Here is a 14,118-nt window from a genome sequence, read left to right as displayed (position 1 = left end):
GATATCAGCCCTTTGTCAGATGGGTAGATTGCAAAAATTTTCTCCCATTCTGTAGGTTGCCTGTTCACTCTGATGGTAGTTTCTTTTGCTGTGCAGAAGCTATTTAGTTTAATTAGATCCCATTTGTCTATTTTAGCTTTTGTTGCCATTGCTTTTGGTGTTTTAGTCATGAAGTCCTTGCCCATGCCTATGTCCTGAATGGTACTGCCTTGGTTTTCTTCTAGGGTTTTTATGGTTTTAGGTCTAACATTTATGTATTTAATCCATCTTGAATTAATTTCTGTATAAGGTATAGGGAAGGGATCCAGTTTCAGCTTTCTGCATATGGCTAGCCAGTTTTTCCAGCACCATTTATTACTTAGGGAATCCTTTCCCCATTTCTTGTTTTTGTCAGGTTTGTCAAAGATCAGATGGTTGTAGATGTGTGGAGTTATTTCTGAGGGCTCTGTTCTGTTCCATTAGTCTATATATCTGTTTTGGTACCAGTACCACACTGTTTTGGTTACTGTAGCCGTGTAGTATAGTTTGAAGCCAGGTAGCGTGATGCCTCCTGCTTTGTTATTTTTGCTTAGGATTGTCTTGGTAATGTGGGCTCTTTTTTGTTTCCATATGAACCTTAAAGTAGTTTTTTCCAATTCTGTGAAGAAAGTCATTGGTAGCTTGATGGGGATGGCACTGAATCTATGAATTACCTTGGGCAGTAAGGCCATTTTCACTATATTAATTCTTGCTATCCATGAGCATGGAATGTTCTTCCAATTGTTTGTGTCCCCTTTTATTTCATTGAGCAGTGGTTTGTAATTCTCCTTGAAGAGGTCCTTCACGTCCCTTGTAAGTTGGATTCCTAATTATTTTCTTCTCTTTGTAGCAGTTGTGAATGGGAGTTCACTCATGATTTGGCTCTCTGTTTGTCTGTTATTTGTGTATAGGAATGCTTGTGATTTTTGCACATTGATTTTGTATCCTGAGACTGCTGAAGTTGCTTATCAGCTTAAGGAGATTTTGGGCTGAGATGATGGGGTTTTCTAAATATACAATCATGTCATCTGCAAACAGGGAAAATTTGACTTCCTCTTTTCCTAATTGAATACCCTTTATTTCTTTCTCTTGCCTGATTGCCCTGGCCAGCACTTCCAACACTATGTTGAATAGGAGTGGTGAAAGAGGGCATCTTTGTCTTGTGTTGGTTTTCAAGGGGAATGCTTCCAGTTTTTGCCCATTCAATATGATATTGGCTGTGGGTTTGTCATAAATAGCTCTTATTATTTTGAGATACATTCCATCAATACCTAATTTATTGAGAGTTTTTAGCATGAAGGGCTGTTGAATTTTGTTGAAGGCCCTTTCTGCATCTATTGAGATAATCATGTGGCTTTTGTCATTGGTTCTGTTTATGTGATCGATTATGATTATTGATTTGCATATGTTGAACCAGCCTTGCATCCTAGGATGAAGCCGACTTAATCGTGGTGGATAAGCTTTTTGATGTGCTGCTGGATTCGTTTTGCCAGTATTTTATTGAGGATTTTCACATCGAAGTTCATCAGGTATATTGGTCTAAAATTCTCTTTTGTTGTTGTGTCTCTGCCAGGCCTTGGTATCAGGATGATGCTGGCCTCATAAAATGAGTTAGGGAGGATTCCCTCTTTTTCTATTGATTGGAATAGTTTCAGAAGGAGTGGTACCAGGACCTCTTTGTACCTCTGGTAGAATTTGGCTATGAATCCGTCTGACCCTGGGCTTTTTTGGTTGATAGGCTATTAATTATTGCCTCAATTTTAGAGCCTGTTATTGGTCTATTCAGAGATTCAACTTCTTCCTGGTTTAGTTTTGGGATGGTGTATGTGTCCAGGAATTTATCCATTTCTTCTAGATTTTCTAGTTTATTTGCTTAGAGTTGTTTATAGTATTATCTGATGGTAGTTTGTATTCCTGTGGGATCAGTGGTTATATCCCCTTTATAGTTTTGTATTGCGTCTATTTGATTCTTCTCTCTTTTCTCTTTTCTTCTTTATTAGTCTTGCTAGTGGTCTATCAATTTTGTTGATCTTTTCAAAAAACCAGCTCCTGGATTCATTGATTTTTTGAAGGGTTTTTTGTGTCTCTTCTCCTTCAGTTCTGCTCTGATCTTAGTTATTTCTTGCCTTCTGCTAGCTTTTGAATTTGTTTGCTCTTGCTTCTCTAGTTCTTTTAATTTTGATGTTAGGATGTCAATTTTAGATCTTTCCTGCTTTCTCTTGTGGGAATTTAATGCTGTAAATTTTCCTCCATACCCCGTTTTAAATGTGTCCCAGAGATTCCGGTACATTGTCTCTTTGTTCTTATTGATTTCAAATAACATCTTTATTTCTGACTTCATTTCATTATTTACTCAGTAGTCATTCAGGAGTGGGTTGTTCAGTTTCCACGTAGTTGTGCGGTTTTGAGTGAGTTTCCTAATCCTGAGTTCTAATTTGATTGGACTGTGGTCGGAGAGTTTGTTGTGATTTCTGTTCTTTTACATTTGCTGAGGAGTGCTTTACTTCCAATTATGTGGTCAATTTTAGAATACATGAGATGTGGTGCTGAGAAGGATGTATATTCTATTGATTTGGGGTGGAGAGTTCTGTAGATGTCTATTAGGTCTGCTTGGTGCCGAGCTGAGTTCAAGTCCTGGATATCCTTATTAACCTGTCTCGTTGATCTGTCTAATATTGACAGTGGAGTGTTAAAATCTCCCATTATTATTGTGTGGGACTCTAAGTCTCTGTTTAGGTCTCCAAGAACTTGCTTTATGAATCTGGGTGCTCCTGTATATATATTTAGGTGCATATATATTTAGGATAGTTAGCTCTTCTTGTTGAATTGATCCCTTTACCATTATGTAATGGCCTTCTTTGTCTCTTTTGATCTTTGTTGGTTTGAAGTCTATTTTATCAGAGGCTTGGATTGCAACCTCTGCTTTTTTTTTGGTTTCCATTTGCTTGATAGATCGTCCTCCATCCCTTTATTTTGAGCCTATGTGTGTCTCTGCACGTGAGATGAGTTTCCTGAATACAGCACACTGATTTGCCTTGACTCTTTATCCAATTTGCCAGTCTGTATCTTTTAATTGGGGCATTTAGCCAATTTACATTTAGGGTTAATATTGTTATGTTTGAATTTGATACTGTCATTATGATGTTAGCTGGTTATTTTGCTCGTTAATTGATGCAGTTTCTTCATAGCATCGATGGTCTTTACAATTTGACATGTTTTTGCAGTGGCTGGTACTGTTTGTTTCTTTCCAAGTTTAGTGCTTCCTTCAGGGGCTCTTGTAAGGCAGGCCTGGCATTGACAAAATCTCTCTTTCATAGCCGTTCCCAGCTCTGTTTATCAGGTTTTCTTCCTCACATGTATTTGTGCATATGTGTATGCATGTGTGTATATAAATACTTGAAATTATAAAATAATGAGTTTGAATACAAGTATATTCATCCAATAAATCCTTCAACAGGCCTAAAATGGCTTCACACCTTCTATGCTCATTCATACTAGGAAAAGTTCAAGATTTGTTTATTGTTCTGTTTTTCTTTAGTCTGAGAGTGTACAGTCAAAGTAATCTATCCAAAATGTAATAAGATATCTTCTTTTCAATTTGAAAATCTCTACCTTTAACGTGGTTTGAAAAACAGTTGGATTCATTTGTTTTTATTTATATTAGGTTTTTATTTTTCATCTTGTTCATATAATTGAAGATATATATTATTAAAAATTGATTTGGATAGTCAAAATTTCACTCAGAGAAGTGTCACTCCTCACCTATCTCTTTCATCCACTTTCTCCCCTCCACCTAACCCCTGTAGATTACTGAAGTTCCAATGTACACCTAAGAAACTTCATCGGAAACCCAAGCCAGAATTGCTGAACCAAGCCTCCTAAAATTCCTGACCCACAAAAACTATAAGAAATAACACGTGTGTTATTGTTTTAAACCACCAAGTTTTGGAGTAACTTGTTCCATGGCAACTGATCACCAACATAGATTTAGAATACCATTAAACACTACAAAAAAAAAAAAACTAGGAATTTTTCAAAAACTGACTAATTCCAGGTTTGGGACAGGGAAATTACAAATCAAGACAGAAATATCTTGCTTGATGTTGCAGAAAGTGAGTAAAATGATGGTTAGAGTGTGTTGAAAGGATAGAGAAATCAGCTTGAAGTCCACTAGTCAAATAGGCACAATTTGAGCATGAAAATATATAAAGATGTTAATGAATTTTATCACATTGCATAAAGTAAGACTCTGTGAGTCTCTATTGAAGATGAACACAGGTGGTCCTCAATTTACAATGGTTAGAATTAACAATATTTTGAATTTACAATTGTGCAAAAGTTATATGCATTCAGTAGAAACTATATTTCATGTACCCATATAACTATTCTGTTTTTTACTTTCAGCAGAGTATTCAATAAATTACATGAGATATTCAACACTTTATTATAAAGTAGTGTTTTTTATTTTATTATAAAAATTGTTTTACTTTATTATAAAATAGTCTTCGCATTAGTTGATTTCACCAAACTGTAGGATAATGTAATTGTTTAGAGACTGTTTACGTACGCTAGGCTAATCTATGATGTTCAGTGTTTATGTGTAATAAATGCATTTTGAACTTTTGATATTTTCAATTTATGAGGGATTTGATAGAACATAACCCCATTGTAAGTCAAGGAGCATATAGACATACACATGTACAAAATAAATGAATAAATTAATTAGGAAGAAGGAAAATTATTTCAATAGGCTATAAATTAATAAATACAGTAGAAACTATAAAGTTAGAAAATTTCCTTTTATAACAAACATATAAAAATAGTTTCCACCCAGAATCATTACTAAAGGCTTAATCAGTAGGAGAGGTCATTTAATGAAGAACAGAGTATTTATGGTTTGTCAAAGGATTGTGCCTTGAATTCATTATTAACTACAAAAGAAAAAAATAATGATTGTGAAGTGAATAAAATAAAAAACATTTTTAACATGCTGATAAAAATTAGCATCATCAATAATTTGCAAAGATCATATACCTCTGTTTTGATGCCCAGAGAACACAGCAGCTCTTAAGAAGTGTGTCAGCCAAAAATGTTTAATGAGTATGTACAAAATAATCAGATACTTGTATGCTTTCTTATTTCTTCTTCTTTCTTACCGAAAATATTGTGCATACCTACATATGTATATAATCTTTTTCACCCTTCAATTGTTAACTTACTGTATCTGAAATTAACTTATCAGTAAATAGGGATCTTTCCTTTGTGCAGTTACATAATACTCCTTTATGATAACAGTAAGCTGTATTTTACTCAATTGCCTATGTTTGTCATGTAGGTACTTTTCAATGGTTTAGAAATTCAATAATGTTGCAATCTATAAACTTGTGCAGATTTATTTTTATTTTTATTTTCTGGAAGTTTATCTTTATAATAAATCTTAATATTTTAGTATTATACCAGAAAACACTAACTTTTTTTCTTTTGTCTATTCACTAGGCTATTATTTAGTGAGTTATTTCTATAAATCAAACAATATATACCATACTGACATAACAAAGATGAATAAGAAAGATATCATTCCATGAAGCAGCTCTCAGTCTAATGGAGGACCTAGATCCACAAACAGAAAACTAGAATGGATAATAGGGAGATTTCCTTAGCTAAAATGTAAGATGATATATTTTTTTAAAAAAATTAGGATAGATGGTACAAAATAGAATACACAAACTTTAAAGTATGTGGTAAGCTATTATTCTTTGCTTATTAGGAGTATATTGTTCAAAAGATTTGAAAAGCACTACAAAATGAGGGTGACAATTGTTTTATGCAGGGAGCTGAGATAATCGGTTTTGAATTTTTTATAAAAATTTTGATTGAACAAGTATAATAAAGAAGCTATGCCAATCAGTAAGATCAAATAGGACCTTTGCCATATTCTGCGATATAGATAATGAAGACTTAAATTACAGCAGTGAGTATAAAAATGAAAAAAGGGGTATAGCTTTGAGAAAAAAATTAAGAGATACAAGACATAAAACTTGGTAATTAATTAGATGTGGTGGATATGGAAGATGGTAAAGTCAAAGGTGCAATTCTAGATTTCCATATTGGGTGACTGGCTCAATAACAATGCTGAACACTGGCATGGAAATTACCAGAAGGTATTAGATTTAATGGATAATATATAAATTGATTTGGGGCTTACTGAATTTGAAGCATTGGTATGTTCATTCTGCTGGAGATGCCCAGAATCCTTTAAGATTTGAGAGACTCAAGCAAGTTTATAGAGTAAATTAAAATAAAGAGACTTTTGGGAATTCAAAGAGACTGCAAATGAATGATGCTTCAAGGTCTAGAGATAACAGAGAATAAGGATCAAGAGTGTAGGGGAAATGATTGTCTTTGAGGAGAAGAAAGGAGAGGTAACTCATTCTTAGAATCCGGAAGCAAAGCCAAATTCTGACTTTATCTCTTGTAAAATTGCAGAGTATTGTGCTCTAGCCATGTTTTATAGATGAGGAATCTCAAAGATAACCTAAGAGTTACACTAACAATAATTAGCTAACACAAGAATTAAATCTAGGTATGTTAAAGTGTTCTCATTTCTCTTTTTATTATGACATACTGGCTCTCTAAGAAGACAAGACCTGGGGAAAATTTTTAGTTATTTCCCTGCTAAAAGATTTATGTTAAACTATTGCAATAGCAGAAATTAATCGCTTCAGTCACTCCCCACTTACTGACCTCAATATATACCATTTTATCATTGTTTTAGATAAAAATAATTGTATGTGACTATAAAAATTGGGCTTCATCTATATTTATGCCCATAAAAGAATGTTTCTGGGTTTCCCAAGGCAGGGGTTTAGCCACTTCAAAAGAAGTTCAAGAACTGAGCTCTGGATATTCCAATGCTAAAAGCTGGTGAGATTGGGAAAAACTACAAGCAGTCAAGAAGTAGAAAGAAAATAAAGGATTTGTGTGTGTGTGTGTGTGTGTGTGTGTAAGCACATACAGTATCACAAAGGGTAGAAGAGATAATCTGCATCAGTCGTATTGCCATGTCAAGTTAAATGAGAGGCGTAAATTGACCTTGACTTATTAAGGTTGTGGCCATTGTTAATCCTGATAAGAGCAGTGTGGAGTGCTGGAGACCAACCTGAATGGAGTTAAAGACAGCAGAGGATATGAATACCTCAAGTTTACACGTTGATTTCTTTTGTTGTTATTGTTTGTTTGTTAGAGAATTATTGCTATAAGTGAGAGCAGATAAAATGTGGGTGGTAACTGAAAAAGGATATGAGCTCAGGAAAAGGATTTGTTTATTACATTTTTAAGATGGAAAAATATTAGTATGATTATGTGCAGGTGGAGTGGATCAAACAGTAAGAGAGAGTGCAAGTGTTACTGAAATAATGGGCTGGATTCAGGTGAGAGGATTTGAGATATAATGCATAAACAGATGAGTTGGTCTTAGGCAAAAGTACAAAGTGTAAATCTATATTAATAAAGTGGAGTATGGGAACAAATCAAAAGAGTGGTTGTTGGTGAATATTTTTTCCTCCTAGTCATTTATATTTTCTTAGTAAAATAAAAATGTCATTTTCTATCCATGAGAATAAAGTTGTGGAGGTTTAGACGAGAAAACTGGAAATTTAATATCCATGAGCTTGGGTAAGTGAATGGATAAAGATAATGTAGTATGAATGTCAGAAAGCATTAAGGGTCTAATTGATATGAGTGTTAGTAACTCATATCAACCAGTGAGATCAGTTGGTATGGTTGCATGCGTAGATGCCAACCCAGCTGATCTTTAGCAGGGTTGGGTATTTTCCATGAGTATCTCAGGAATGGAAATCAAGCAAAATTATTGAGATTATAAAATAAGGAGAGATTGCATTGCTGAAGTATGGAATTTAAGTTGGATAGCAAGTGAAGTGAGAGCAAGAAGTGGATGAGAGGCCATGAAGAGGAAAAATAATTATTGATCTAAAATTCTTAGAAGGATACAGAAATTATTAGTGTCTGGGTAGAGTTATGTGGATGAAAGAGGTAGAATGGAGTTGAATTCTTGAATTTGGGATTATGGAGGGTCTAAAGTTATTGGTAATGATATGTTTTGGAGTTTGGGCTTGGAAAGTGAGATGTTGAGGTAGGACAGGAGATAAGATAAATAGAAAAGAAGTGAAGGAACTGAAAGTCCAGGTACTGAAAGAATGACCTATGAGAATACTGGCCTTGCCAAAAACATGGCAAGAACAAATTAGAGAGACAGTGGACCAGCAAAAATCTTCAAGAAGTGATTGAGAGTGACCTTGAGATTGGCAAATCACTGAAATGAGGAGCCATATGTATGATATACTCCTGAAACTCTGAGACTCAATACTGCCTGCTCTTTGGAGGAAAAGGGAAAAATGGTCCGAAAATGGGCATGAAGTTCAAGAAAAACACCTAGCCTCTCTTTAAGGTGAATCACGGAAAAGAATATCACCATGAGCATTTTGGAGATTTCATATGAAGCCAAGTCCTGTGGAAGAAAGCTGTATTAGAGCAAGAAGGCAAAAAGAATCTTTAGGGAAATAATTGAGCTTCAGGAGATTTTGCTGATAACGGCATGTTCCAGATGGAAAAACTCAGGAGTTGTTCAAGGGTAGATAAAAGAGTTCAAAGAGGGTTTGTACACAGCTGTGTAAAAGAATAAAATATAAGAATTGAAAATAACCTAACAATCCCAGGGTTCAGATGGTGACTGACTTGAACAGGAATCAGGGCATAATGAAGTTGGCCTTCATGATGTCTAGGCAAGGACTGATGGGGAACCTGTGGGCCGGGGTATGGGGGCAGGGAGAAATCTCCACTTGGCAATGGGGTGAGGAGGCTTGAGCAGCAGCCAAGGTAGACAGCACTCTCTCTGAGCTGCTGACTGTGACACTGCTGATTTGAATTTGAGTTCAGTTTTCAGAAGGTATTGTCAGGTGTTTTTTTCTTTTTCTTCTGATTTTGTCAGATTATCTTCCTATGATTTCTAGTATTCTCTTAAATATCTAAAATATTTGTTGACTTCCTTGCTTTTTTATTTTCAATTTTTTAAAAAAATTCTGTCTATATTGTCTTCATATATTACTGAGAGTATTCATAGAAAAGTCTCTTATATTTCCAGTGACAAAAACACCACTTTGAAAGGTAGAAATAAAATAGAGTGAATGTTTTGCATGGTGGTGACATTTTACATGAAATAGATAGGTAACATTTTGTAATTTACAATGCACTGTCATTGTAAATTACAAGGCTCTCATTTGAGTCTCACAGAAAACTCTCTTAAGAAGGTAACATTAACATTTATCTCCATTTTACAAATGAGAAAATAGATTCAAAGAAGCTAATTATTTTGCCCAACATTACAACACTAATACACACTAGACTGAGGATTCTACATAAGTTTTCTTTCCTAGTTAATTATGAATTATCTTACTCTCCTGGATTTTATAAGGGGCAGTCTAAAGGCTTTGATAAAGAAAGCCGATGATGTCACAGATTTGGGTCACCATTAACAACCCTGAGAGTGTCAGGGAATGTGCCACATTTTTTGCTTGCATAGAAGAAACTTAGAATGTACTATGACTGTAGCTGTGAGTTGACTTCCAAGAAGTATTGTATAATATCACTGTAATTACCTGCCTTCTCATTTTACTCGTGATGTTCTCACTGCCTGAGATGTTTTCAATAGTCAAAACCTTGCTTGAATGGTTATCATAAATTCTTCTTCCTCAATAAAATACATCTGAATCCATAAATAGACTATAACCTCTTTTTTAGTCCCCTAAGAGTTATGTTTATACATTTACTCTGTCACTGCATACGTATCCTATCATATACAATAGCAAGTAATCATGTAAGCATTCACCTATAAAGTGTAGATAAGTGTAACTAGTGTAGATTAAAATGTTTAAAAATGGGATAAGGTACATATGATTTTAAGATACACTATGATTTTAGGAATAAAAGGAAGGTGAACAAAAGTGTTTTCTACAAAATCCTGTTTACATGTAATTTATATGCTATTGTTAGTGTGAAGAACACATGGCAGAGCATCATGGTGAGAAATTTGTGTGCTACAATGGGACCTGTGTTGAAACCCAGAGCTTCACTACTTACTTACTTTATGATCTTGGGCAAAGGGCAAGCTCTTTAACTTATCTCTGTCACAAAGTCCCTATCTATAAAGTGGGGACAGTTAACAATCCTGCTTCATAGAGTTGTTCATTGTTCAACACATCTTTATTGTGGGTCAAGTACTGGTCTAGAGGCAGATTAAATGAACTGATACTTGTACATCACTTAGAAAAGCACATGCTATCTAGTGAATCCTCCATAAATGTTAGATTTATTTTTCCGTTAATTTGTTGAGAGAAATTCTTTGAATGTAGGCGACAGCAAAACATAGGCATTGAAATTCAAATTAATTATAATTTAAAATCATATCAAACAGAATTGCAAACTCTCTAAAGCAGTGTGTCAAATGACTCTTATATTCTCCAATGGTCTTTTAAGAACAGAATAGGTCTAGTCTCTATGAAAACCCCGAAAAAAAATATACCTGCTTTGCCCAATATCTTTACCTTATGTAAGAAACCAATTAGGAATTATATAAAACATGCAGGACTTGTAATCCAACTTAAAAATATACTGTTAATGCATAAACCAGGATTCATATGAAGTACTTAAATATTAAAGAAAGTCAAAATCCTTTCTGACAGTGTCTGACTTTTTTGCTTATCTATTTCTAAAATACATCTTGCCTATCAGCCAAAGCTTTAATCACTTTCTCATTTCAGATATTGAAAGTGAGATTCCATTAAATCAAGTAAAGGTCATCTTTCTTTGAAATATAGATTATTCACCTGCACTCTTTAAAGAGGCATGGATTGGAGAGCAAACTCAATAGAAGTCCCTTTCTCCCCACTCTTTAAAGTAATAAGTAAGTAACCAAACAGATTAAGGATGATTATGTTCAGCTCTCAAGAACTGGGTTCCAAACCAGATATAAAATGCAATTCCAGCACTGAAAAGTAGGGTCTTCTTGTTGAAAAAGAAAGGACATATTCGGCTGCTCTGGGTTTCTTTTGAAGTACTTATGAAATACATTCAGGTTAAAGCAGCAACAGAAGCAGCACAAGATAAATAGGACTGGGTAATTCATCTCAAAATTTTCCCAGAGAAGCAAATTGTTGGTGGATAGAAACCTAAAGTTCCAAAGCAGATGTGTAGCATTTCTTTGCTCTAAAGTCCCCATTTGCTTCACTAAGTAGTTTAGGAACTCTCTAGAAAAAATTTATCCCTAAGGGAAATGGGGGTCTTCTAATGCATGTAAGTTTCTTTTAAAAGAGAATTATTTCAATTTTTATAAGGGATCAAAGATGGTTTCTTTTCATGCCTAATTGCTGATAGTAATGCTCCTTACATGGGAACCATCAGATATTTCACAGACATGCTTAAGCAGTCATTAATTATTTACACATAAATGCTGGAAAAACTAATTTAGCAAAGAGATATTTTCATTTACAAAGCATCTGACAGAGAAATATGTCCATTCAGAGACTAGCCTCCCCACAGCGTATTTAAATCCCGCTTTGCAACTAGAATATTTGACCAAGTCTTCCTAAGACCTTTGAACCCAATTATTTCCCTTCACACAGTATTCAGTGTATTTTTCTGCTTCTCATATAGCAGCCCTTTAAAATACACTTCCTTGCTTTTGTTTTTGTTTTTTTTTTTTTGTTTTTTTAATCAGGCTTGACACATTTATTATGTTTCTAGAATTAATAACTCAGCTGCCTTGTTTAATAAAGTATAAGTATTTCTGATTTCCAACCATTACCACCCCTTGGTGAGTATAAAATGGCATGGTGGCCTTCTTTCCTTGAATTCTCATTGAAGGTGCACCAGATCTACTCCCGCAACCCTCCCTCCCGGTAGGACATCAAGATTTCTTCATCCATACTGGACAGGTCCTGGGGTGAAGAATTCCTGCTGGATGTAGTCCTCTAGCATTTGCACACACCAGATGTCAGGAAGGAACTTAGAAGTTGGGTGGGGTGTTTATTCAGAAGTTGGTGATGTGAAGTGTATAAAACAGACACCAGATCAAGAATTTTGCAGGGAGAGTATGTTGGGGACCTGAGAAGAAGAGACTAAGAAAACAGCAGGGTGTCTAAACCACAGGTTCATTTGTACATATTTTCATTGTTAATTATGCATACTTCAGAAAAATTTTAAAATCCCTGAATATCGGTATGTAAAACAGTTCCAGTATGATAATTCTTTTTTAAAAAATTCTTACCTGATATGCCTGATTGCCATGCAACAAGATTGGACTTACAACTCATTTTATATGTCAGATTTATTTAGTAAATTTTATTTATAGTCAAAGCTGAGCTCACCCTATTGCTCTTATAAAATGGTCGTGAGTTCACAGCAAATGAATGGGCCTTTATTACTGGGTAATTTAGTTTCATTTTAAGATATGAAATTTGCTCTGGTGTTGAAGAAGTAGGTAGATGGGAGCAGGATTGTATGTGAAATGACTGCATTGTAAAATGACTCTGCGTATAATTAGTAGTGAGCTAGAACAACAGAGAAATAGAGAATTTTTTCATTTCACAGGGATCAGTAATTTTAACCATGAGAAAAAAAAATAATTAGTGGAAAAAAAAACTAAGTCATTTTTTAAAGTCCATTAGAATATAGTCGACTTGGCCATTTTATTATTTACTAGGTTTATATAAACTTTTATGCATAACTCTATTGCTATTATAATGTAAATTAAGTACTATGCCCTGGTTATTATAGTTGAACTATAAAATTGCATAGAATAGCTGTACAGTTGTATTATGAAATAATAATTAAGTGATATTATTTTTTAAAAAAACTATTTTCGTGGCTAGTAAAGTATCTCTTCAGAGAATAACTGAACAGTTTTCACTTTCATGATTGCAATTAAAAATGGAAGAAGCTCCTAGCAGTCTTTAAGATTTTATAAATATTTAAGGTAGAGAATGTAAATGTTTATTGTATGTATTATTTTCTGGCTGTAGGGTCACAACTCTTCAGCATCCACACTGCATAAGCAACGTGCAAAGAGTTAGTAAACAGAATTATATAGAGAAAAATCTTTAACACACCATGAGGCCAGAAAAATTTACAGTGCTTAGAATTCCCTGATGAATACTTATATTTTACTCTTAATCACTTGTAGCAGGTAAGAGGAACAGCATTTTGTAAGCCAAGTAGGAACGCATATCTTTTTTTATAAAGTGTGTCCATTACTCTCATTTCATGTATCAAAAGCAATGTATTAGCAAGTTACTTCAGCATGCAGGAAATGGAATTCATTGCTGATAAAATGAAGTCTGGAGACTATCCATGTTTCACAATTCAATCACTTACCTTGAAAATGAAGACTGTGAAGAGAGTCAGTTATTGCACTGTGAGTGAAAAGAAAGAAGTGACTCATTTCATTTTGCTTACTTCCACCACTGACACAGCATCAAAATTGCTCTCCTATTTAGAGTCTTTCTCCTCACTCCTTTTTTTTCACTGAGTTAATAACATGCCCAATTTCTTGGAGTCTAAATAGGCTACAAGATATATAAATAAAAAAAAATCATTATAAACCTTTAACTAGTTAGTAGGATGCCAGGTATACCAACACAGAAAAATACTGTTTTATGTTATATTCTTAAATATACAGATAGACCTGAAAATGCACTCATGTAACTGTTTGGGTGTTTTGTTTTTCCCCATAGAAAGGGGTGTAGGATATTCCACACAATATAATTCCTAATAGAAAAGGACAATCCCATTCGCAAAAGGAGCATAAAATATTGACTTCTAAAATGAAGAATGTGAATCTATTGAGAATACACAGTAGGGATATGTCTGATCATGAAGCAATGCTTCAAGCTGATGTGATCATTTAAACAGTTTAACACCCAATTCCACTTCCTAAATTATATGGCCTCTTCAGTTGAAAATGATTTTAAGCTAAATTATAGCGATAGTTGACTTAATCTGAAATGTCACTTTGTATGACTCCATAGA

Source organism: Homo sapiens, chromosome 4 (genome assembly GCF_000001405.40).
Source record: "Homo sapiens chromosome 4, GRCh38.p14 Primary Assembly".
NCBI classification, from domain to species: Eukaryota; Metazoa; Chordata; class Mammalia; order Primates; family Hominidae; genus Homo; species Homo sapiens.
Note: the sequence above shows the minus strand (reverse complement) of the source record.